The sequence below is a fragment of the Homo sapiens genome, chromosome 8 (assembly GCF_000001405.40).
Source record: "Homo sapiens chromosome 8, GRCh38.p14 Primary Assembly".
Lineage (NCBI taxonomy): Eukaryota > Metazoa > Chordata > Mammalia > Primates > Hominidae > Homo > Homo sapiens.
Window position 1 is genome coordinate 64,798,758 of NC_000008.11, and position 27,724 is coordinate 64,826,481.

At 39.4% G+C, this 27,724-nt stretch overlaps 2 long non-coding RNA genes across 4 annotated transcripts; one reads left to right on the forward strand and one right to left on the reverse strand.

Annotated features, from left to right (window-relative positions):
* Positions 24-18,675, forward strand: LOC105375879 (uncharacterized). Its single transcript, XR_928992.3, has 3 exons — positions 24-340; positions 5,082-5,154; positions 18,587-18,675. It is a non-coding gene; the product is annotated as an uncharacterized LOC105375879 (long non-coding RNA).
* LOC105375878 (uncharacterized) lies at positions 1,842-18,846 on the reverse strand. Of its 3 annotated transcripts, none has more exons than NR_188110.1 (5): positions 18,567-18,846; positions 6,832-6,941; positions 5,371-5,438; positions 3,611-3,728; positions 1,842-2,769 (listed from the first exon to the last, which is right to left on the reverse strand). It is a non-coding gene; the product is annotated as an uncharacterized LOC105375878 (long non-coding RNA). The 3 variants fall into 3 exon arrangements; NR_188109.1 differs by having other exon boundaries at positions 5,416-5,521; NR_188111.1 differs by lacking the exon at positions 5,371-5,438.
* Positions 18,847-27,724: the final 8,878 nt, after the last annotated feature.

A 27,724-nucleotide genomic window follows, 5' to 3' on the forward strand; every position in this document is an offset into this window, starting at 1 on the left:
ATGACAAAAGTTCGTGGACTGCCCCCTCCCCGCCTATCCTCCACCCACGCGTACCGCCCCGTTCCCCCACCGTTTCCGACCCGGCAGCTTCTGGAAAACAGCGCCCTTGATCCTCCCGGGCAGGAAGAAGGGCCAAGGAAGGGGTTAGAAGGGAAAGAGTTAGGATTTCCCAAGAACCAGCCCTGAAGGCCTGGAGGTGGGGGATTTCGCTTCTTAGTTGGACGGGAGCCCCTTGGGTTCCTCACTTCTTAGCCCGCGCCCTGCGGGAGGAGCGACTCTGCTTGTCCCTCAAGATGCTTGTGAAGGTGCCCGCTGCGCTCTGACACCGGCGATCTCTTAGGTACGACCCAGCGGGGTTGGGCTGGCGGCAGAAACCGGCGGAGTGCGCGACCTCGAACCCGTTTCGCGCCCACCTCCTTCACCCCCTTACATCCTATTTGCTCACAAGTTTTGGTTCAGGCCTGCTGTGTGCAGAGGCGCGTGCCAGAGACACGGAATACAAAGACCTAGGCCGTAAGCCTTTAGAAGTCCCGATGAGGCACACAGTACAGGAAGAGAGTGAGACAGGTAAAAAGAGATTGCAGAACAGCGTGGTAGGGGACGAAAGAGAAGTGGTTCAAGTACTACAGGCTGTACTCAGAAAGAATAAGGGAGAAACTTTTAAAATACCTTTTTCTGAGTAATGACCATCCACTGGGTACTTTACCCACGTTTTTACTTTCTATTTTTAATGTGTATTTTATAGAAGACATAATGAGACTCAGATTAAGTAACTGAACTTGGTTGCTCACTTGATAAATGTTTACCATTCCCACTGATAAATATCGGCCGTTCTAACCACGGTCCTATTCGAGGACTTGTGTGCTCTGTCAATGCAACACTTCTCTGGAATGGGTACAGCAGCTTCAAAACCAATCTCTGGTTTTTTACCCTTCCAGTCCATCATCCCCATTTCCACCTCCCTAAAACACAGACCTCTCCAGCTTTTACTCTGTTCAAAACTCTTAATGGTTGTCTTTGTGACGAAGTCATATCCTCCACCTGCAATGAGAAGCCCTGCACAAATTGTCTTCATTGTACAACTCCCCTCGCCAGAACGGTTCCATATATATACTCAAGCTTGGGCCACCATGTCCCTCATACTCAGCCTGTTCACATTATTAACTTAAAAAATCCATTGTAGTTTTGATTTGCATTTCTCTAATGATCAGTGTCATTGAGCTTTTTTTCATATGCTTGTTGGCCACATGTATTTTGGAAATCAGTGTGGTAGTTCCTCAAAGACAGAACTACCATAGGATCTGGCAATCCCATTACTGTGTATATACCCAAAGGAATATAAATCACTCTGTCATAAAGACACATGCACGCTTATGTTCATTGCAGCACTGTTCACAATAGCAAAGACATGGAATCAACCTAAATGTCCATCAGTGGTAGACTGCATAAAGAAAATGTGGTATATACACCATGAAATTCTATGCAGCCATAAAAAAGAATGAGATCATATCCTTTGCAGGAACATGGATGGAGCTGGGGGCCATTATCCTTAGCAACAGAAAAGCAAATACAGCATGTTCTCACTTATAAGTGGGAGCTAAATGATGAGAACACATGGACACATAGAGGGGAACAACGGATACTGGGGCCTGCTGGAGGGCAGAGTGGGTGAGGAGGGAGACGATCAGAAAAAATGACTAATAATTACTGGGCTTAATAGCTTGGTGATGAAATAATCTGTACAACAAACCCCCATGATGTGAATTTACCTATATAACAAACCTGCACATGTGTCCTAAACTTAAAAGTTAAATACATAAAATAAAAATAAAAATTCACAATTTTTAAGTTTTGAAAAGGAGAGAGGAGACTTTATTTCTTCCAAAGGGTTACAGCCTGCAAGGTGGCCATCCAGGCAAAACTAGAGACAGGCCCTTCAAAGGAGGGCTTGGGGTGGGAGCTTTATGCTGAAGAGGTTGGCTAAACATATATATTTAACTGGTTACAGGAGGAGCTATGAATATTCATGAAGGTGGTCCTGACACATGCCTATTGAACAAACATGCACGTAACATATGACCCATGTTCACTTTGGGGTGGCTACTTAACATTTAAATGTGCTACAGTTATGCTTTATATATCAAAAGATCATTTTACATACAAAGGTAGGTAAGTGTGTAATCTCTGTAAACTGGCAAAACCAGTCAATGGTCAGTGGTCTTCTTAATCAGGAGAAAGTTACTGAAACCAGACTCTTGTCCAATCAAAGCTGTAGTTATGGCTTGTGGAACAGCAGGGTCAGTTAGCATCTGATGGTGGATGAGCTGTGACTTTTAATGTTGCAAATCCTGAGGCCAGTGCTTTTTTAGTTGCTAGAGTGAATAACCTTGTGGTGGTTAGAACATAGTATATATTTTAAGTTTTACTGTCCATGGTTCTAAAGCTGTGAATGGCTAGATTAGCCCCAGAATCTTGATGTTTACGAGCCTCTTTGTCTTTGACTTCTATTCCAGAGTCTGTCTCCTGCCTCTCCTTTCTCCTGTTGTACATTGAATTTTCCAGGCAGTCCAAAATATTGCAGTAAACTGACAGCCACTCTGTCTCTTCCAAGAGAAAACAAATTGAGTGCTTTCCGTCACTGCTGGGACAGCAGAGCCAGTTTACAGGAGGGAGTCCATGCTGGGGCATTTCTGTAACCACTGCAGAGAGCCACTCACTGATTTTCAGAAGAAGTCTCAATCCTCATACTTCTGTTTTCCCCTAGATGACCTTTGTTTAAAAATATAATTAAAATACTAAGAATTCATTCTACTTACTGAACATTTATTATTTGCCAGACACCATACCAAACATATTATTTTATCACATTAATAACAGCAAAAACCCATGGTTGATTGCCCTGCCTTAGAGAAGTGGAAGGAAGAAGCCTGCATAGTTATTTACCAGATTTGGTTTGCAACTGTATCATATTCCTATGTTATCTGCACAGTGGCTTACTTGGGACACTTTATTATATATATGCAATACATCTTAAATATATATTTCTTTTGGGTTTTCCACTTTTATTAAAAGGGACCTTCGCTCTATAACCAGATTAAAACAATCTAAAGATACCTTTTATTTTTCTTTTACTTTCATGGTGGCTCATTATTAGCCTCATTATATTCAATCCAGTTCAATTCAGTTTTAACGCCAAAGTATACCATTATCCCCATCACCTCTCTGACAGAGATTGCCGGTTGACCCTCCATATCTGCTCACCCCTTCCTCCTCAGTAACAGAGTCCTCCATTTTTAACTGAACAAATGCCAGTCCATCATAAAGACTACTTCTAGTTAGCTGGGTGTGGTGGTGTACACCTGTAGTCCCAGCTACTTGGCTAATCAGGAGGCTGAAGCAGGAGGATCACTTTGAGCCCACCGAGGACTTAGAGGCCACAGTGAGCTATCATCAGAGTACACTACTGTACACTCCAGCCTGAGCAACAGAGCAAGAAACCCTGTCTCTCTCAAAAGAAGGAAGGAAGGAAGGCAGGCAGGCAGGCAGGCGGGCAATATAGTGAAACTGTCTACTAAAAATACAAAAATTAGCTGGGCATGGTGGCACGCACCTATAGTTCCAGCTACTCGGGAGGCTGAGGCAGGAGAATCGCTTGAACCTGGGAGGCAGAGGTTGTGGCGAGCCGAGATCACACTACTTCACTTCAGCCTAGGCAACAGAGCAAGACTCTGTCTCAAAAAAAAAAAAAGAAAAGAAAAGAATGAGATGTCACTTCCTTCAAAAAGCTGGGACTAAACACATTAATATTGGATAAAAGAAAGTAAAAAGGCCACTCGAAGGAAGGAAGTAGGGAAGCAGGGAGGGAGGGAGGGGAAGGGAGTGGAGGGGAGGAAGAGGGTGACAGAAAGAAAGAGTAGGGGAAGTAAAGAAAGGGAGAGGGTGACAGATTGTACTTCAGTGACTCACTGCACTAGCCAAGTGACCCTCATCTACCAGGTGGCTGGAGTGATTAGCCTCTTTCTCTGTTCTTGTTCTAATCTAGCATTAGGACTTGAACTCTGGCTTTGGTTCCCCCCATGCCTTAACTTTTGATTCTCAAGAGCCTCTGTGGAAGTCAACAAAACCTGAATAATGACTATTTCCTCTTTCATTTCAACATGTACATCCTAATTCTGCCCAGATTTTGAAAATACTAATAAACTGGACTGAAACATTCAAGTCTACCTACTTAATGACTTTTGTTAAGTGCAAATTATGTTCATGGCACTATACTTGGCCTATTGGACCTATAAAAATGAATGAGATGGGCTTGGTGGCTCACACATGTAATCCCAGCACTTTGGGAGGCTGAAGCAGGCACGAATCATGAGGTCAGGAGTTTGAGACCAGCTTGGCCAACATAGTGAAACCCTGTCTCTACTAAAAATCCAAAAATTAGCCGGGCATGGTGGCGCGCACCTGTAGTCCCAGCTACTCAGGAGGCTGAGGCAGGAGAATCGCTTGAACCCGGGAGGCAGAGGTTGTGGCGAGCCAAGATCACATGACTGCACTCCAGCCTGGGCAACAGAGCAAGACTCTGTCTCAAAAAAAAAGAAAAAGAATGAGATGTCACTTCCTTCAAAAAGCTTGGATGAAGGGGATGAAACACATTAATATTGGACAAAAGAAAGTAAAAAGGCCACTCAAAGAAGATTGTGGAGTGACCATGGGGGAATTTAAGGATATGCACCCATATGGCCTCAATCTTGTGAGCTCCTGGGAAGCAAATGATGTGCTGGAGGGGAGGGTAGATTACAGGCTTCAGCTGTTAGGAAACATGGGAAAGTACCACTGTGGAAAATACCAAAATGGAATTTCACACATTCTTTTTCCAGTATTGGGAAGTCCGTAAAGTCAGAATTGAGTGTCCAACACTGAAAGGTCCTATCAACTTTTGACATAAAATACAGGTTAGGTTTAGGTTTTGAATCATATCAAAGCACAACCCCTCTATAACTAAAAAGATTGACTGCTGTTTATTTCTCTCCCATTCCCATGAGTTTTATTGTAACTAACTTTGATTTCCCATTACCTTCGGTTAGAATGAAGACCATCCCTGGGCAAAATTGCGAAGAAGTGGAAGGAAAGAAGAGAAAGAAGAAGAAAGGAATATAGGTACCTGTTTTACATACATTGTTTCATCTAATCTTCAAAACCAATCTCTGATGTAGCTATTATTATTCCTTTTTACATAAAAGAAAACCAAGACTTAAAAGAATTCCAGGACACCCGTGGTTATTCAGCTCTTACGTCCAACTGTGAAGTCACCCGTCGTTTTCACTGTACTACCTTGCCCTCCTTAGAGTTTTCGTTCACTAACCCTTTACTTACCTGCTCAGTCATTCTTTCTTCCATCTTTATGGATCCAGTTATTACCTTAGGTTGTCCATAACCGCTCCCTGTGGAGACAATTGAGGCTCTGCCATGACCTTGGCCCTCCATGGCCCTTGTCTAGCTCTGACGCTGGTCTCAAGTTTTCCATCTGAAAAATGATTTAAGACTACTTTCCCTATAAGTTTATGAGGATTAAATTGTTAGGAGTAAATATATATGTGTGTGTATATATATATATATCACAATGAAAATGCCTGGGGCTTCCTTTTTTTCACAGTTGAGCACCTTCTGCTCCACTGGCAAAGGGTATAAGTAGAAGCAAGTTAATCAGACAAATTCAGCCCAGCTGAGGTGTTAGCTTATTGATATATTACTTCTGCCCAATTAAAATATAAAATAGGTGGCTTTCTTCTTTCCTTAAGGTGACTATTCAAACTGATTGTAGCTGAGATTGCAATAATCACATATACTGAGACTGCTATAAGCCCAAAAGTTATTGTTTAATTTGGCACATAGTAAATAGTGAGGCATCGTAGATGCAGGCACCAAACTTGACTAAAAATATCTTAAATCACAAATGCTTCCACTTATTCTGTCGTTCTTTACAATTTAAACGATTTTAGTTGTTTTCTCTTTGCTTTAGTTCTTCTTTCTCCTATAAAGACAGTTTGTAGTGCTGACCCAGCATGCAGTCTGGTACAGGACACATATAGACATGGCAGGCAAAAATCTTATTAAATAAATGCTGTTGAATGAGCAAAGTGACACCCAACAATAGAGTGTAGTTCCATTTAAACCTTTTTTTAATAAAGTATAATTTTAGGTAAGACCTGAATATAATTATTTTGAAGCAGCTTCAAAAATGGTGGAACAGATGGCTCTGATTATCTCCAAGAGGAAGGAAAAGATTGGAGAGTTTTGTCATTTCTTGTTTAACAGTCTTGGCATTGCTTATACACACTTGAGTTTTGAATACTGTGATTTATAAAATCACAATCCCGTGCTAAACCTCAGCTCATTCTCACAATCTGACCCTACTTCCCACGCCAAGTTTTGAGACTCACTCTCTGTCTCTGTCTCTAACTCACACTGGCTATTCCAACATTTCATTTTCCCACTAGCCTTGACCCTATATTTCTGGGGACAAAAAGCACAAGACTCTCTCCCTGAGCATTCCTTTTAATGAGAACCATTCCCTCCTCCAGCCCCACTCCCCATCCACCTCTGTTCACTAAGGAAATGTTTTCCAGAGTCAAAAACATTAAAAAAAAAAAATTCGGCTAGGTCAGTACTCCGAGAAGCAAAGACCCCTGTTACAGTTCAGGTCCCAGGAAACAGACTCTGAGAGGGACATTATCGTAAAAGAGTGTTTTAGGACAGGCTCATAGGATCAGCATCAGGCATGCTGATGGGAAGGAAACATGCAGAGAGAGAAGCTGAACTGGGACACAGTCTTACCAAAAGATTCAGCTGAGTCCTTGATAATATGTGGAACTCAGGTAGCCCTTAGAATTGTCCCAAGATGAGGTGCAGGGTTCAGGTCTTTAATGTCACTGGTTCCAGACTGCCTGCAGGAAAGGAGAGGTGTCTACAAGTGATGGGGTTCTCTTTAGCTAAGAGTGAGTCCTGAAACAGCTGATGAGGCAATCCTAGAGCTTGGAGCAAAGGTTCTTCCATGCTGACAGAGAATCTGGGTGACAAAATAATAGTCAGTATCCACTAGGATGCTACAGAAATATGCTGGAGGCAAATAGCACATAGGTGGTGGAGGTGCTTGCACTCATCTTGGATTTGTAATATCTCAGAAGCAGAGAGGTTAGTGTTACTATAGGTGCTTTGCTAATGAGAGAAACAACAATCCAAGATGAATAAAAGCAAATTAGCAAAATACCTATAGTAACATTAGCCTCTCTGCTTCTGAGAACACAGCAGTCACATTACTAGGTGATTCTAATGTTAAAGAGAAATTTTTTTTTATGAGTCAGGTTTTATTATAATATTGCAACAAGGAAAGCCTCTAGGAGGTCAGTTCAAACATTTACTCTGATTACAAACATAGGGAATACTACCTAAGTATTGTCAGAGTAACTAAAAGAACAATTTAAAATCATTCAACTCTTGCCTGACAGAGGACAATGAGGGAACATAACTAGTTTCTCCAAACAAATCAAAATCCCATAAAATTATATCAGAAAACTACTAAAGCATTTTTTTAGGAAGGTTACGCTTTTCCGTGAAGTAGGTATACATTTCATTAAGCAAATGCTTTCTGCTGCAGAAGGGGCTTAGGACCATTTTTCCTTCACGCTAACATTTTACTTGCTCAGTCTACCATGGTGCCCTTGCCTGAAGTAGCTCCATCCTCTTAGCAGGGACTCCACGTGGGCCAGTTGCCACTTGGATTCACATTGGGCCCTTTCATACCCACACCCTTCTTTAAAGACTAGAAAAACACGACATGCTCTTTCTCTCCCCCTTCGTATCTGACTCCTCGTTTGTGAGCTCTGTTCCCAGCTTTCTCCCCACCCCCTGCTTTCCTTTCCAAAGCTCCACTGGAAAATGGTCAAATTAATTCCCTCAGGATTTTCTAAGGCCTTTTATTTTCTCCTGCAGCTTTCTAATCACTAACATTTCCATGGTTATTCTCTTTCTCCTTTCTTCTCTGAAGTCTGGCATTTTTTCCACCAACAAAGATTGCTAAATTTTGACATTTATAAAAGCAATTCATAACACTAATTATACATATGCTGGAAGTTTTGAATATTCTGCTTTATGAACAAACATAGCACTAATGAATGAGAAAATTGATTTGTAATGATTCTGAAAAACAGTCTAATTGTCTGCTTGCCAGGGTTGCAATAGAACTAAGATGGGTATACACACACTTAACCCAGACATCAGCCAGGGGCTTCCTGGCACTTGCTTCTGCGTGTGCAGGATCTGTTTTGGCCCTTCAACAGCTGATAACCAAAAGGCAGCACTCTGTACCTTCACTTGTTTCTGCAAGAAACCCAAACACAGCAGGCACCAACATCTTTGTGGCAGATTTCTTGAGGGGGGTGGGGTCATATTGTACAGAACATGGGATCCCACTCAAAAAATTCTTGACATTTTATATCCTCCAGTCCTCTTAGGCCACATGGCAATAGGAATTTTCTTATGCTTCCCTCTGACAAAGTCCAGCCTCTCTGGTTCCAGTGTCCCTCCAGAATTTTCCTCTGCAAACATCAAATACCTCCTGCCTTTATAATACAAAGAAATTCAGCTCACATCTTTTATTTGAGTCAGGCTTTGGAGTTCCCCATGCTAAGTAGCTGTCAAAAATTTCTTCTGAACAAGGAGCATGGAATATTTTCAAAATATAGTCATCATCTTCAAAAGCAAAAAAAAAATTTAACTGACATAAATCATTTAATATTTTTCTTTTCTTTTTAGAGACAAATTCTCTCCATGTTGTCCAGGCTGGTCTCCAACTCCTGGGTTCAAGTGATCCTCCCACCTCAGCCTCCTAAGTAGCTGGGACTATGCCTGGCTCATTTTCTCTTCTAGAAATTTAAGTAGATACTTGGTTAAGTAGGGGAGAATGGTGTCCCCTCCAGCCTATTCTTAAAGATGTTCGAATGACAGTGACTAGTCAGTCAGAACATATATAAATGGACAAATATCAACACATGTCCCTTCTGCATTTACAGGCACCTCAGAAACTTTCATTTCTAGACATTTCTTCACTTGCCCCTCTCCTTTTTACAGGCTGGATTCCTGGTCTAGAAAGGTACAAGGGCTAATTCAGAATTTCCTCTTCCTGCTTTTCAGAATTTCTTCTTCCTGCCTTTGGGTGTGCCAAGACCTCAAAACCCCTTTCTCCTTTCCCATGTCTCTTTGTTTTTGCTACTTTTTTTTTTTTTATCAGTTCTGAGCAATCTGGACATCTGTTCCTTACCTAGATTCTTACTGCCAGGCTCAGCAAAACTCACAGCCCTCTAGCACTTACACAACCCCCGTGCCAAGACAAACATAATTGTTGTAAGGAGCCTTCCTAAACTCACACAGAAATTGAAGTGAAGATTGGAATTCTACCCTCCTACTTTTCTCTGCAGCTCTGACTCAGGAGTCAGAACATAATTATTTTACAAATAAAAGTCTGAAGGCCGGGCACGGTGGCTCACACCTGTAATCCCAGCACTTTGGGAGGTCGAGGCGGGCAGATCACGAGGTCAGGAGATGGAGACCATCCTGGATAACATGATGAAAACCCATCTCTACTAAAAATACAAAAAAAATTAGCTGGGCATGGTGGGGGGTGCCTGTAATCTCAGCTACTCGGGAGGCTGAGGCAGGAGAATGGCTTGAACCCAGGAGGTGGAGTTTGCAGTGAGCCGAGATCACGCCACTGCACTCCAGCCTGGGTGACAGAGTGAGACTCCATCTCAAAAAAAACAAAAAACAAACAAACAAACAAAACCAAATAAAAGTCTGAAAATGAACAAGAGTAGTTTTTCTGAGTTGATGCATTTTCAAACTTTATCTCACGTGACCCCTTGACAATCCAGTGAGCTGAGTATTATTTTCACTTTACACATGTCCTTTGTAACGTCTGTGACAACAGGTACCATGTCTGTCTCTTTTCACCAATGTATACGTAATACTTTGCAGAGTTCATGGCACTTTGTAGATTATCAATAAATATTTGCTGAATGAATGAAAATTAGAAAACTGATATTTAAAAAAATGAAATGAAATTAATATTTATTGAATACCTACTCCGTGCTGATCGCCGAGCTAAATATTCTCATCTATATTTTATCTGAACAATAGTCCAATGAACTTGACCAAGTTCCCGAACTAGTTAGTGCAAGCAAATGATTTCTAATTTATTGGTATGAATATTAGTTGCATTTTTCTACTGTATGTGTATAACTCATTATATATAATACATTACTAGATCCTTCCTATTGAAGCTTACCTTGCAATTTAGCTCGTTTCTAACAGATATCTCTAGATGTTGGGTCAGTATCTATATACAATATTAAAGTTTTAATTTGAAGAAAACATCCTGGATACAAAACTTCAGGAAGGTATTTATTTTAGAAACAAATCATCTCAATTGTGTCTATTAGGGACCTCATTTTGACAGTTTCAATTGTGTTTGCTGTAAGGATTTATCAGTGTATTGAGGGAAAAATGGATGGGACTTCCATGAGTCCACTTAGATAAGAGATTTGGGGCCACATGAAATACGTAAGCTTGTTCAGAGGATAAAGAGTCAGTGTGAGAGAGAAAAGATAATTTTAGATGAGTAGCCATTAATTTTTCCTATGATTCTACCACTCTTTTCTCTCTTTTACTTCCTTTAAAATTTGAAACTTTGGAAAGTAAAGGCTACTAAAGAAAGAAAAAATGATTTTGCTAAAATTTCTCTAAGATAGTGGAAGCACAAGGCAGTATCATTTTGTGGCCCATGTATTCACATATAATTAGAAGCAGAGTAGGAGCATATTTCTTGTTTTATGAAGCAGCATCCTAGGAGCCTTAAAGGACTCAGGGGACCAATGTCTGGAGAAGGAACTAGACTTCTTCAATGTAACCAGAAGCAATAACACAATTCCATAGTGCTGGACTCACTGTTCGTTTTTCAGCCCATGTCGTACTTGCCCTTTCAGCAGCACTCTCACTTTCTTTGAATACTTTCTTCTCTGGGTTCCCATGAATGTCCTCTTACTTCTCTGGTTGCTTCTTGGTCCCCTTGGGCAGTTCTTCCTCTACTTGGCCACTAAATGTCAAAGGGCTCAATCCCAGAGGCCAGAGGCTCCTCTCTTTTTACTACAAACTCTAAACAGGTAAACTTTGTGCTTTAAACATTATGTCTATGGAATAGCTCCTAAATGTGTTGGCTGCAGATTTCTTTAAGATGCAGCCCCCCATCACATGTCTTTTAAACAGCCCACATGGTTGTTTTATAAGCACCTGGAACTTAGCAAGTCCAAACAACTCTTAACCATAGCTAACACATCTGCTCTTTTTCCTAAAGCATCACCATCCATCCAGTGGCCCATGCTCAAAACTGAGGCGCCAGCTTTGGTTCTAAGTCATTTAACTACTCTGTTAAAACCCATCTTAAATCTGTCTCCTCCTATTCTCTACAGCCATCACTTAGTCCAAGACAGCATCATCCACCATTCATCTGCATGTCCTCAGATTTTCCCTTGCCTCATTCATCCATTCATTGTCCACACTACAACCATAGTGATGATTTTTAAAAAATACAAATTGAATCAAGTTACTACAATATTTTAAGTCCCTACAATAGTATCACATTGTTTTTTGAATAAAATGCAAACTTCTTAACCTTCAAGCTTACATGGTCCTCAGTGACTAGACCCTAGCCTCATCTCTCCCCATCAACTCTGATCTCATTCCAATATAGACTGCAATTTGGTTCAGTGAATGAACCTGGTTCTCTTTCAGCCTTTACAGATAATCCTTCTTACACCTGCTTTCTGACATCTATACCTCCTTGGACTAGCTAAATTCTAAATCTCCCTCTGAACTGAAATTAAGCATCATTTACTTAGGAAAGTGGTTTCTAATTCCCCAGTCTAGGTCAGTACAACCTATTCTTTGCCTACTCAGCATATTAACTTCCCCTTGATAGTACTTATGACATTATCATTAAATAATAATTCACTGTAATGAGTTGTTGAAAGCCTCTCCACCAGAATGTCAACGTGTGAAGGTAGAGATTTTGCCTACTTCACTGCTGTAAACTCGCACAAGTTCTTTAACATAGTTGGTGCTTAACACGTATTTGTTGAGTAGATCAATCAATCGATCAATCAATCAGTAATACAATAGATAAATAAGCGAAGCCATTCAATATGTAGTAATCATTTCATGTGTGCCATTTACTGTTCTAAGGTCTTTCATGCATTTTTTTTTTCATTTAAACATCACAACAGCCCTGTGGAGTAGGTACTTTTGTAATCTGTATTTTATATATGAGAAAACAGGTTTAGGAAGATTAATAACATGCAGATGTGGAATATCCATCCCTACCACCATGACCGTTTTTTTCTCATGAGGCCATTGTTCAAGGACAGGAATAGCTGAGGAAAAAGGCTGCTTATCATGATCTTCCTCTGCTGAGGCTGTTCTTTGGGCAGCAATTCACATAGAACAAAAATATGTTTACATTTTATGCCCAGTTGGAGAGGTCTGTCTACATACCTGTTCCCTAGATCTCCTTATCAACACTTTTCTAATCATTTTTCTTCTACATAACCTCAGCATACAATCAAACTGTTAGTCACCACTCATAAATCAGTGTAGATCTGTACTTCCGGCCATCTCTCCCTCCAGGTAGAACAAACCACCAAGTACATTGCCTGAAGTTATGCCTACGCAGAGGATTTCCTTTAACAACCCTTCTTCAGGGACACCTCTGCATGGGGCTGTAGTATTGCAGATGCTTTTGGATGGTGCCGGTATTTTATGCAGCACCCTTTGTAAAGCAAGCTGAGATTTTCTTTTTTCTTTTTAAATCAATAGGTCATAGAAAATGGTTGTGGGTTGAGAAAGAGGAGGTAATATAGCAAGAATATAAACCTTGGGAGTCTGATCCACTTGTTCATGGAAAATACTATGCCTTGAGAACTTTCTTGAGCCTGACCTAGAATAGTTCTACTTAATTATGGAGTGCTGCTGTGTACATCCAACTTTATGGCTTGGTGCATCAGACTGAATTAATGATGGATAATTCAGGTTGCATGGTAATTTGGTGGCTGTGGTCAAGTGTTTTTTCTCCATGAGGGCCCTGAAATAAGCCAAAAGTTGCTTCTCAAGAGGAGAATAGTTATATACAGAAACAGTGATTCTTAAACATTTGTTCTATGATTTATATTGAGGGACCTTTTAAGGTCCCTCAGCATCTCTATCTTCCATAGATAATTTAGTCACCATAGGATCTGATTGGTCCAATAAATAAAGTAGCAGAACAACTTTCATAACAGCCTGAACTTGTTAAGAGCCTTGACTTGCTCTGGACCCTTCTCAAAACTGAAAGCCTTCTGATTTACCCAGTAAATAGTATCAGGCCTAAGTGAGTATCAGTATCAGGCCTAAATGGAATATCAGGCCCAAATGAGGTACATGTTGCCTCCCAAATCTAACGAGACCCACCAGGTGTTGTGCCTCTTTCTTGAGGTAGGAGAAATTGGGTGCAGCAACTTGCTTTTCTTGAACTCTGGCCACTGGACCCCTAAAAATTTCATCAAGATGGCATATGTGTGTCTAGCAAAATGTCTAAGAAAGTGTAATTGTCTCATCACAAAGTCCAATCAGCATGATGACATTAATTTAGATAGACCAAGGTGTTATCCTATGGAACGAAGAAATGATAAAGGTCTCTTTTGACTGAATTATTATTATGAGAGCTGAAGATGTTATATATGTAGGGCAGTGAATGTGTATTGCTAGCTCTGTCAGGTGAAAGCAAACTTCACTTACCAGATTAATAGCTATAGTGTGCCAGAGAATGTGTTGATGTGCTGCGACAAATAGTCTACATCTGGAATGGCAGCTGCAATTTGAATCATGACCTTATAAATCTTACAATATTCTACTATAATTCTTTAAAATCTGTCTTCTGAATAAGCCATACAGGGAAATTAAATGGGGATATGATAAGAATTACCTGTATTCTTTATGTCCTTGATGAGGCACCAATATCTGCATTTCCTCTATAAATTTTGCATTGCTTTTGCTTTACTTTTGTTTTTTGAGTAGAGGTAGTTCTCAGGATTTTCATTTAATCTTTCTTCCTACAATAGCCCTCATTCTCAAGGTCAAGGAACCAATGTGAAAATTCTGCCAATTGCTGAATATGTTCATTCTAACTATATTCTGGAACTGAGTAAATAATAATTTATTCATATGTATTCTGGAACTGAGTAAATAATCACTGGGTGTATTCAGGGACCACTGATCCTGCTGGGAGATGGATCTAAGCCAAAGCTATATTAACTGCCTAATTTCTATAACTTTCTGGTTATTTCTTTTTCACCAAAGGTCAGTGACTGTACATTCTTCTGGAGAAGACTGGGTATAAATTTTTAGCAGTGTGGCAAGACCTTTCCTTCAGAGGGCCTGGTCTCTCCATCATTCAGTGGAGGTCTTACTCTTTTTATTTGATCTATGAACTGATTCAAATAAAAGAATTGGTTGAGGAATCATAATGTATGGTGAGTCAAGTCAAACTTTTATTGCCCAGACTTAGAGTTTTTCTTTCTGCTTACACAAATCAAGTAAGACTTTAGTAGGTTGCCTATTTATTTTAATTCTAGGGAAACCATGATCACTTACTCCAAACCAAAGATCTCTGTGCATTAAAACATTCAGATTACCACTTGTCTGTGGCATTTCTTCTGTTCCAGTAACAGAAACCCTAAACTCAGTGATATAAAATCATAACAATCTTGTTATGGTCTCAGGTTCTGTGGGTCAGAAATACAGAAAGTGTACATCAGGGATGGCTTGTATATCTTCTCCATGATGTCTGGGGCCTCACTTGGGATAACTCAGAAGCTCGTGGTTATTTAACAGCTGGGAGCAAGAATCACCTGAACGTTCTGTTACTCACATATCTGGGTGGTAGATGCTGGCTATTGGCTGAGACTTCACCTACACTTGGCCTCTCCATGTGACCTGGGTTTACTCGCAGTATGGTGATATCAGGGAAATTAGAATACTCATCTGATGGTTTAGGCCTTTGAGGACAGATGTCCCAATAAAACAGGACAGATACTCTGTCATCTTTTATGGTTTAGCCTCAGAAGTTGCACACCATCCAAAGCCCACTGAGAGTCAAGGGGAAGAAACATAGCCAGATACGAAGGTGGTTGCAACTTGTTCCCTGCCAGTCAGGGATCCTATCATTACTACTGAATCCAAGGAGCTATCTGTTTTTAGGGAAAAAATATTAATGACAGCATTTTTTTTTAAATGGCCAGTCATGATCTGCAGAAAATAGCTGCTTGAGAGCTCTTCAGGGATACTGGTGCTCCCCTCATCAGTGCATTTCTCAAACCCTCAAAGAAGAGAATGTCCAGTAGAACTTCCCAGGAGACAGGATGTATGTGAGCGGGTCTTACCTGATAAATTCATTTCAGCAATCTGAGCTCCCTAAATCTCTGGATGTTTTCCTCTAGCAGGAGTCAATAAACCATAGCCCACATGTTGACTGCCTGATTTTGCAAATAAAGTTTTATGGGAAGATAATTCCATGCCAATCTATTTACTTATTGTGTAGGGCTGAGTTTAGGCCAAAATAGTAGAATTAAATAATTGTAACAGATACTGCACAGCTCAGAAGCCTAAGATAATTAATATCCATCCCATTACAAAAATGTACTATGCACACTTTTGCAAATTTTGCAAAAGAAGTTCTGGTACCTTAAATTCATTTTCAATATAAGCCATTTTCAAGTCTAAGATTTAGTTAAGTAACTAAGCAACTAGTTAGAGTGATTCCCATCGCCTCAAATCAGTACACCGATTGCATGACCTCTGCTTAGTGCGTCCATATTAGTAAATAACGCCCTTCCAACTTTAGACTTCTCTAACCTGAACCAATATTTGTAGAATACAATGCCACCCATATTCACCAGGTTTCTGTCAATTAGAATTTAGCAACACATTGATTGCAGTTATTTTGGTATGTCATCATGAGGTAATACTTGGTAGCTGAACCCCTAGAGTCATCTGGCATTTGCATCTGTTCATAGATCTAGAAGCAATGAGAGGTGATGGGAGTAGATCTTGAGGAAGGTTGTTGGTGTTCTGAAAATAAGAGACTTTTTACTTCAGATAATAGAAGACTAATCTCAGAGAGGGGTAGAACTGTTTCTTTAATTGTCAAAACAAATTCTGTAGAATTTAGGGTTTAAAGTTCTCAGCTTTATCAGAATTTGCTTATATGTCCCCCTTTCAAAATTCAGGGTCTTATTCTTTTTCCAGGCAATCCCTTAAGAGACCCTTGAGAAGTTGTTAATTTGATTTGTATTGCATGTTAGCCATCCACAGTATTAGATTTCGCATTTTGTTTTTAGAAATCTCAATTCTGTAGCTACAGAAAATAAAAGTCACCTTTAGGACTATTATAAAAGCCTTTTGGTTCCTTATCAAGAGCTTGAGCTGGGAATGTAAAGCCCTAATCTCATGTTTTTCCCTCCAAGTTCTCCCTCACATTTAGAAACAATCAGGTAATCCATGATAATTTTACTTACTCCCACTAAATTGTTCTATGGTAACAACCACTTGGACATTCAAAGTCTTTCCAAGTGGCTCTAGATGATACTTTAAGTAGTGATTTTCTACTGAAATTCATAGACTACCATTGCCCAATTTGCCACAGACAATGGGATCACAAATGTCTTCGAATCTAGCCAGAGCAAGAAAAAAGTTTTAGATCACTAATAATAAGATTTTGTTACTCTAGAATTACTTTAGATAACAATAATTGTGTTAGGAAGTAGAGCCATCATACATATTATGGGAATAAAAGATTTATTATGGGAACTAGACTTTACCAACTGAAGGAAGAGCTGTGGAAGTGAAAGTACAACAGGGAAATTTGGAGGATCTGAGATAAAGCATTAACCAGGCCACCTGAAGCACTATGGCAGGTGGACGTGCTAAAGCTTGCAGAGAATTCGTGAAGCACAGCATATCCAATGTCAAACTAGACTGTGAAGGGGAAGCCCATGGAGAGGTGTCTGAGAAGTCGTGGCTTCTATGCAGTTACTGCCTCTGTGAGTCTACAGTCAAGTAGCCAGTGGTGGTCTTAGGGCCGCTGTGGGTCAGCTGGGCCAACAGTTGGAAAGATAAGCTAAGCAGGAAGTGGAGTGGAGTAAGGAAAAGGTGGGGAAGTGAAAGCCCAGAAGGAAATTTACACATTCAGAGTCAAACAGACTCTCCCGGTTTCATCACTTACTACTGTTATCTGGAGAATGTTAATCAATTTTTGTGAATTTCCATTTTCCTAGTTGTATAATAAATGCGGATAAAATATCTACCTTTAGGGGCTGCTTGCTTGCCTTTTAACATTTTTTGGAAATCCATTTATCCTTCTGTTCTTTTTTAAGCTAACATAAAATGTTTTCATCATAAAGTAAACTAGTTTCAAAAGATGTGATTTCTGGGCTGTTTTAATTATTGACATATGGTAACAAAATGATAATATTATTTTTAATTTATCTATGCAATATAAATACAATAGCAGCTTTGTGCCCACCATCAATTTAAAAAATATATGAATAAGCTCTTTTTCAATAATCAGAAATTTTACATTGTTCCATTTTCTCTTTGAACTCATATTTCCATTCCATTTTTCCCACAGAGTTTTATCTTAACATATTTTTATGCTTGAAGGTCTTTTATTGATAGTAAAATTGCAATGAAAAATGTTTATAAATTGAATTTTCTAAATATTAGTTGTGATCATAAGATCTAATATTTTTTATCTGAATTATGATATAATACAATCATTATTGGCATATTATTTATCAAATAAAATTAAATATATTGTAGAAATTGATAAGTAAACCTAAAAAGTAAAGTTTAATTAGAAATGGACATTTTAATATGTGTATATACATATGCATGTCTATGAATATATAGAACTCCTTTCTCTGACAGTGAGAAACTTGGACTCCATCACCTTCAATATATTTACTTACCTAGTCAATCCCACTCACAAGTTACCAACTGCCCATCACCACCACCTCCATCACCCCATGTCTACAACCGCCTCACCCCTTTTAGGCTCTGCCATTCCGCACAGGACCACTGTGTAGATGCTTTCTTCATCCTGCTTAGGCTCCCACACTTGGCGCTGGGCTTGCATTCCTACTTCCTCTCTTTGTGTTATTACATTCGACCCTACCTACTGGCTTTTGGACTAAATTATTCAGAAAGGAAATGAGAAAGGGAGAGCGGGGAAAGAGAGCATGCATTTTCTATATATCTTGACCCTTCTCATTCTGAGATAGGTAGGTAGATTAGATAGATAGATAGATAGATAGATAGATAGATAGATAGATAGACAGATAGATAGATAAAGCACAGAGCTTTTCCAAACGTTTCTCACCTAGATCACATAATCCAAGATGTCTTTCAATACTTACTACTGATTTACTTACGTTTGTTGCTTTATCCTCAGGATCTTCCTCAGCATCAGTAATTTCTTTGGAAAGAATTGGGGAGAAAGAAGATATACATCTTTAAAAGGAAATTGTCACTACCTCGCTAACCCAACTCTACAAATATACCTGACTTCACAGTACCCAAGCAAAGACAGAATACATAATTTTTAAATCTCCCACTTTCTCTAGGACAGAAAAATGTATGAGAAAGGGAAAGACAAAAGCCCTATCAAAAGCTTATGGTGACTTGGTTAAAGAAGGTTGCAGGCACTGTGGTAAGAGTTTGGATGGGTGAAACATAATCGTTTGTTTTGTAATATGAGGTAAGTTTGGTTGTGAGATGGGGAAGTGGGAAAGGAAAACCAAACTGAAGCCCTGACCACAGACTTATTCTAGGCAGATCAATTTTAGCAAAAAATAGAGAAAATGAAAATGGATTTTCTTATATCTTTTACTGCCTATGAAGTTCTTGGAAAACTATCATGGATTCTTATAGGCACATGTACCCAGTTGACTAATTTTTGGTGTAGATGCTCAAAAACATTAAAAGTAGCAGTAAATTTTAGTAAATTGATGGCCCTTAAAAAATAAAATAATTCATGCAGATAATCCAATAATGTCCAAAAGTTAGAATGAGATGAAACATATTAAAATATCAATGAATAATCACTTATTATTGATTAAAATATGAATTCATGAATGAGAATAAGAAATGGGTATAAATTACACCTCACTTCTTTTTTTTTTTTTTTTTTTTTTTTTTTTTTTTTTTGAGATGTAGTCTCGCTCTGTCACCTAAGCTGGAGTGCAGTGGTGTGATCTTGGCTCACTGTAACCTCTGCCTCCCAGGTTCCAGGAATTCTCTGTCCCAGCTTCCCAAGCAGCTGGGATTACAGGTACCTGCCACTATGCTCGGCTAATTTTTGTATTTTTAGTAGAGATGGGGTTTCACCATCTTGGCCAGGCTGGTCTTGAACTCTTGACCTCGTGATCCACCCACCTCGGCCTCCCAAAGTGCTGGGATTACAGGCATGAGCCACCATGCCCGGCCTTACACTTCACTTCTATAAGATAGAACAACATGTAATAGAAAGCACAAAAGTAATTTTTAAAAATTTCTGTTTTAATTTTTTGCCATTGTAAATCCAACTTTTTATATTAATATATTTATCTCTGTCATATTCTCAACTATTTAGATTTAAGTTGTAAATTACTATTTAAATTACTGTTCAAATCTTAAAAGCAAGAAGTATTTTTAGGAGTGGGGATCCACTTATTCACCCATTCTGTTTCATCATTCAGCAAATAATTGAATGCCTACCAAGAATTAAGTACAGAGCAAGCACAGAGAATGAAATAGGGAATTTATATATGGTCCCTGCATCCACAGAGATACAGTCAAGAATTCTTTGATTGAAAGAAAAACAAACAAGCAAAAAAATGAAAAAACAAACCAAAAAAATGAACTTAAACAAGAAAATGCAAAATACACATTAACTTGCCAAAATGTGACTCTTAGCTGCAGAAATTTGAGGGCCCTGTTTTTGAGGTGACTACACTGGCTCATCCAGCCACAAGCACCTTCCATACCTGTGTACTTTTCCCCTGATTCAATCAGAAGGTACATTCAATTGACATAGCTGTTTGGTGGTGTTTCCACCTCTGGGAATGGGTGTGTGACTGTAATTGGTAGCTCTGCAATAAACAAAAGGAAAGAAGATTTTTTAACGATGAGGATGTTGGGGTGTGGAAACTGGTTCTTCTACTGGCAGAAAAAGGGAAAGTGTATCAGGAGTAGGAACATCCACTCTAGCTTTCAATCATAAGCCAAAATCTCTCTCTGGTTCATCTTATTTAAAAAATCAGCTTAGTTTCTCTTAGTCTAAAATTTTAAACTCTGGGTCAATCCCTACAATGCTATTTCACTCTTCCACTTCCCTCCCTTTCTCTTCTTTTTTGTTTCTCTTTCTTTTACTGCTAGCCATATGGTTCAGCTTTCCTTAAGAGAACTCATGCCCATAATCAGAGTAATATAGAATGTATTTAAAGAGTCAGTGTTGTAATGTTTTTCTATAATTATAATATTAAAATAGAACTATAATAGTTTTCAGATTTGTAAAAAATATTTTTCAGATATATGTATGTACATACATTTGCTACATGTGATGTACACATGAATGCTATTCTCATTGTGCAGCACATCGTATAGGGAAGCAGCTCAATCACCAGTCAGCACCTGCAATTTCAAGCCTCTACCCTGGTGGCCTATTAATGTTTAAGGTGAAGGAAATGTCCTGTGGTAACTGGGGCTGTTTAAAAGAGGAAGGATGGTGTCAGAGACTCAATGCAACCCAATATATAAAAGGAATCCACTTTCCTTTTTAGTGCACCCTAAGGACATGCAGTGATTTTTATCTTGATGTCATTTTTTAAATATTTGGGGGTTTGTGGCGTGAACCCGGGAGGCGGAGCTTGCAGTGAGCCGAGATCGCGCCACTGCACTCCAGCCTGGGCGACAGAGCGAGACTCCGTCTCAAAAAAAAAAAAAAAAAAATATTTGGGGGTTTGAGAGGTTTTTTGTTTGTTTTTTGGTGATTTTCTTTTCGCCCTGTTAATAACCACTTCAGTAGTCTAAATTTCAGACATTAAACTGATATTGCATTCCTTGCTTTGAGGCTCATATTAAAGCCATTGTTTTCTCTGTCCATGGCATCTTAATATGTGTGGTGTGTCTCTCCTGACTGGCGGCCAAATTTCCCTCAGGCTCCGGTTCTAACTGCCGATGGCAAACCTGTCCTGCCTTGCAGTCCCAGGGGCATCTGCTCAGTCCTCAGTTTCAGCTGCTCTAGAAGCTGCCTGCCTGTCCGTTGGGGCCAGCCACTTCTCACACCGTGCATGGGTCTCAGTTGTCCCTGACTAACATGCCTCTCGTCACTGTCCTCAAAAGGTTATCCTTTTCATACGAACTTTGGCTCAGTATCCTCGTTTTTGTTTTTAGGCTTTTGACGATGTGGTGCTAAGATCTGCGAGTTTTTGTGTTTGCCTTTTGTCTGATTTAATTTCTTGTGACTGTGGCTGAAAAAAAGTTTTGAAATCAGACATGTTAGAAAACTCAGGAACATTTGGGATGCTCCGCCTTCAAAACATAAAGCAATTTTTAATGCAATATGACTAATTGAAGTCTTCGAAATTATGCTCCCTCAACCTTCCACATGTAATTTGTGTGATTGTGCATAGTATATGGTCGACACTTTAAATCAGCCCATTCTGAATACACTCTCAAAATTTGGTGAAAACTTCACCTATTTGTTTTCACAAGATGTAGTTTAAAAGAGACAGAAACGTCATAGAAATTAACATTTCATGACACATGAGACAAAAATTTTAGGCTCTTGCTGAACTCCAGGAGCTCTCTGCACATGAGGACTAGTACTGCGTTGCTGGATATTTTCTTAGTGAAGCTAATGCTCGCCTCAGGTCCCTGCTACTCAGCATTTCCAGAGGGGCCTTGAGAAGTGACAGGCCTAGAGAATGCATGCTAACTTGGCAGTAGTGACAAAGGGGTACTTGGAAGTTATTCCGCGTTCAGAGCAGAGCACAATCAAGAGAATGCTTGATTACTAGGGGGAAAAGAAGGTGAAAAGTGAGGTGTGCCAACAAAATTGCCTAGGCCTTCTGGATTTGGGGCACACTTTTTTGTTAATTATTTTTAAGAAAAATCATTCTCAAATGATATTTCACCCTTTTCCCTCATTTTTATGAAATTCTGCATTTTGGTCAATTTCAAAAAAAAAAGAGTTAAGAGGAGGTAACTGTTGTCTCTGGATCATTGGTTCTCACAGTGCCATATTCATATATTCTTGTGGATACGAGAGTTGTTAGTTTAAAGAATTAATGAAAAGATGTCAATTTTCAATTTTCAAGGTGAATTAACAAAGCAAGTCCTAATCGATGTGACTGGCTTTTGGTTGTTAGACAAGCATGTCATATGTATGTATGTATGCCTTCATTTCATCCCTGTGCTCTTTTGTTTAAATAAATTATGTTAAGAGAAAACTGAAATGGCAGGAGCTTACCAATGCCTGGGGGTGTGTGAAACGGCCCTCATTCCCCATAACTGTGGGAAATCATTCCACCATGGGCCCAGACCAGAATACTAGCTTTAGTGACTTGCACTGTTTTAGGTAGCAGTGTGAAGACTAGTCATAGGTTTTATTGCTGTAACTCAGAACTTATTTAAATTATGAGACCCCGTGTTTATCACTTGAAAGTAGAATTAGAAATGACTTGGCTGGGCACGGTGGTTCACGTCTATAATCCCAGCACTTTGGGAGGCCACGGCGGGCAGATCACTTGAGGTCGGGAGTTGGAAACCAGTCTGGCCAACATGGAGAAATCGCGACTCTGCTACAAATACAAAAATTCCCCGGGCGTGGTGGCATGTGCCTGTAGTCCCAGCTAGTCAGAAGGCTGAGGCAGAAGAATCCCTTGAACCCGGGAGGCGGAGGTTGCAGTGAGCCAAGATTGCACCACTGCACTCCAGCCTGGGCGACAGAGTGAGACTCCATCTCAAAAATAGAAATGACTTTTATTTTGTCCTTTATAACATTTGCAATCTCCAAATGTCCTCAATGAGTTTTTATTTCTTAAAAAAAAACACATTAAAAAGTAATTAAAAATTTAAATATCTAATTCTAGGGTTAGGAGTCAATATTTATATCAAGGGTAGTTTAATTTAGCTCATATGAGTTAAAGAGGAGGAAACATTTGGGGAATTGGCATATTGAGAGTAAGAAAGTTTCAAAAGAAGCGTACCAAAACACTAATAGTGGCTTTTGGGGTTTAAGGTGATTAAAATATATTTTGTACTTGTCTGCATTTTCCAGAATTTCCACTGTTAGCACATATTACATTTATCAGTAGAGAAAATTGCCTTTAGAAGCATTGCTGAGCCCCGTCTGCAGCCCTAGGTGTCTGATTCTGCTTTTATCAATGTTGTGGTTCCTTTCTCTTTGCACCGCAGAGCGAATAAAAAGCTTGGAACTGTTACTACACCATGTTGCTATAAGAAAAGAAAATGCAGAAAAAATTTAGACTTATAGACAGCACTTAAGAATGAAGAACATAGAAAAACCACTTGCGTAAAGTCACTCACGCCAGGGAAGGATCTTGCTAAGTGCTTATTCATTCCACCCCTTCAGTGAAAACAACATTCTCCCAAAGCCTAAAATTTCACAGTTGGAAGTCTTACTTAAAAAGTGCCAATAGCTGTCATTTCTACATTTGAATAAGGTTAGTCATTGTTGCTTTTTTCCTAACACCTAAATCACTTTAGTTCACTGAAGCTCTAGTAGTGTGGGCGTGGGAGTGGGACCATGGAGGCATTTTGCAGCGTGGCATATTCCAAAGCAGGGAGGAGAAATCTGAACCGAGACTGTAGTGAAAGGCTCTGGGAGGCTGGGGGTAAGGCATGTGCTCTAGGTACCTAGAAATAAAGGGGAAGGCCTGGGAAATCCTAGGAGACTTATAGAATGAAGAAGCCACCTATCAGAGGCAAACATCACTTGCTTAGAGTCAATCTGCCGGACGATACAGCCTTGAGGACAGGAGGGATAGAAAAATTAACAAGTCTACAAGGGATGAGCTCAGAAACACCAAGCAGATCCAGATAAACAAACACCCCCTCCAGGATCCTTTACAGTCTGTTGTCTGATACTTGAATTGTATGACTTTATTACTTACCAAAGTATAATACTTCCAGCAGGAGTAATGCTTTTAAAGACACAGCAGAGAATGAGGAGTGATTGTTCATGGAAACAGCATTTATTTCTGGAGTGATACAAATGTTCTAAAATCATATAGTGACAATATTTCCATAACTCTGTGAATATGCCACAACCCACTGAATTGTACACTTCAAAAAGGGTGTTTTTATTATAGTGGATGAAGTAAACTCCAATGAAATTTATTAGATGACCTTCCTTTCCCCTCTTACCATACCTTAAAAAAGATATAAGCAATCATTTAAATCTTACAAAGAATACATGAACTTACAGTGGAGTTCAGGGAAGAAAGCAATGTGAGCAAATAGTTGGAAGACAGAATGCAGAATACTCAAAGGGGCAAAGTCAAAATAACTAGAAAGCAATGAGCACTGATGCCTGACTCAGATCCTCAAAGTCAAAAAAGACCTAATGGCCGCCCTACGGGACATTGGAACACATTAGACTAGTCTCGGGTAGAAAGCTCCACTGTCTAGAGGGCCTTGGCAGGCAGTGTCAACATACAGAAAAGTTCTCGGATGAACTGGAGAGTGTGCTCCCACTAGATCAGGCAATGCTCTGCTGCAAATGTAACTATTTGCAAGCATGTAGGCTCATTTCTGTCACAGACTTTTCAAGAAAATAAGAATAGCCACCTACAGTTTTATGTAATATCAACTTATTAGTTTTGAATGTTGGCAACCAATTGAGAAATGCAATAATTTTTTGAAAATCCCAGGTCAAAAGACACTTGGTTGGTAATTCATAAAACATCACATGGGTGACCCACAACCCCAGGACTAAGCACCAGGACAGGCTGTGGAGTTTAAAGGATGATTTGACAAGCAGAGGAGGCTTTCCAGAATTCTTATGGGAACATTCCATTCTCAAAACACTGTTTACCAAATAAGCCTTCTCTCCACCCTGATTTGTTAGGCAACTGTGCCACATATCAAAACTCCATATATGTAAGTATCTTTTCTGGGCATTCTTTTCTATTTCATTGGTTAATCTGTATGCCTCTGAGCCATTATTAAGTATAGCTGGCAGGTGGGTAAAATCTTTTCCTTCAAATGTGTCCTAGCAATCGTAATGCTCATTCTTTCCAATAATGTGTGTGTGTGTGTGTGTGTACGTGTGTGTGCATGTGTAATGCCACTAATCTCATCATGGGGGCCTTACTCTCATGACCTCATCTAAACCAATTTAGCTCCCAAAAGCCCTGTCTCCAAATACCATCTCACTGGGAGTTAAAGCCTCAGTGTATAAATTGGGGGAGAACACAAACATTCGGTTCACAACAGTCTCCAAACCCCCAAGGCCTATCCCTCTAAGAAGATGCACTTCTCATCCTGCTTGGGGTCTGACTCTGCTCTGAATCATTTTCCATATGGACACCTCCATTCCCCACTGGGTGAACTGGATGCCTACGCTGGGCCACCCCTTTGTGTGGATGCCCTCCTCTCCCTGACCAGTCTCTGCCTACTTGCTCTGGGCAGCCCCCCTACAGGCACATGCACCTCACCACATTTGGGGTCTGAGAGCCCATCCCCTACCACTGTAGCATCCCTTCCCCTCTTCCACCCGCATGAAGCCTACCTGGCTGTGCTCCACCTAATGACTTTAGAATTGAATTGTTTGGGAAGGGAAAGGAAGAGGAAGAGAAGCCACTATGTTTTTAGAATCATCTTGTCAACTTCCATGAAAAATCCTCCTGAGAGTTCTATTGAAGTTGCTTCAAATCTATAGATTGATTGGTAAGAATTCACATTTTTACAACACTGTCTTCCTATTTATGAGCACAAGGTATCTATTATTTTGTCTTTAATTTCTTTTATTAATGTTTTATGATACTTTGTGTTTAGAGTCTTATATAACCTTTATTAGTCGTATTCTTAAGTTCTTTGTAGTTTTGGTTGCCATTTTAATTTATTTGATGTCTTTTAAAATTAGGTTGTCTATTTGTTGCTGGTGCTCAAAACTCCAACTGATTTTTTTTTTTTTTTTGAGACGGAGTCTTGCTCTGTCGCCAGGCTGATCTCTGCTCACTGCAACCTCTGCCTCATGGGTTCAAGCGATTCTCCTGCCTCAGCCTCCCAAGCAGCTGGGATTACAGGCACACACCATCACACTGGCTAATTTTTGTATTTTTAGTAGAGATGGGGTTTTGCCATTTTGGTCAGGCTGGTCTTGAACTCCTGACCTCAGGTGATCCGCCCACGTCGGCCTCCCAAAGTGCTAGAATTACAGGCGTGAGCCACCATGCCCGGCCTCCAGCTGATTTTTTAATATTGATATTAAATCTAGCCATCTTGCTAAACTCTCCGATTGTTCCCAGTAATATGTCTGCAAGTTGTAATGACAGTTATGCTTTAACGTTTTTTCTTCTGTTATTGAACATATAGGATAAGTGGCTACATTTGAAGTTTCATCATACATATGTAATGTAACAAAGTTTTAGAGTTGAATAATATCCTGATACTTCTCCCAGAAAATTTAAAGATTTAAAAATAGTTTAGCTTATGTTTCCCCCTTATGCCTTATATGATATCGTTAGTACTCTTGTTATTTTATTTGTTTTTTAAAAACCCACATAATAGACATTATTGTTTATATAGATGAAGTTTGTTTGAATTTACATGCCTGTTTATCATTCTATTTTCACCATTATTTCTTATGTCTCAGACCATCCTTCTAGCATGATTCTTCTTGAAGTAGATTTTTCTATTGTATGTTTAAAGTAGGTTACTTGGTGGCAAAATGCCTCAGTTTTATACATCTCTATTTTCTTAGAAATGTTGCCCTTATGATTATTATCTGTTTTATGAACAATAGTATTGCTAGGTACACAATAGGCTGACAGTGGTTCACTCCCAAAAGTTTGGAGGTACATTTTGCTGTCTTCTGGTTCTCGTTTCTGTAGTCAGATGTCTGAAGTGGTTTAACTATTGTTGATTTTCAGGTATCTGTCTTTACTTCCTGGCCGTTTGAATGATCTTTGAGTCTTTGATATTCTGGGACTTCAGTGGGATACATATAAATGTGTAACCTGTTGGGATCTGTAGAATCATGTGTATTCATTTTGGAAAATTTTCCTTAAATACTTTTTTTTTGTTCTCCAATTTTACTTTCTGAGACTTCAGGTAAGTATGTATCAGTCTTATTCTGTCTCAAATGTGGCTTACCTTCTTTTTGTATTTTCCATTTCCTTAATTACGTTACCTATATTCTGGAAAAATTTTTCAGACATATTCTCCAGCTCATTAATTCTCTTTTCAATTGTGTCTGATCTGCTGTTTAACCAAGCACCGAGTTTTTTTATTTCAATGATTATTTTGTATTTCCAAATATTCCATTTCTTTAAATATCTGTTCATTCTTTCAGGTTTCCCCT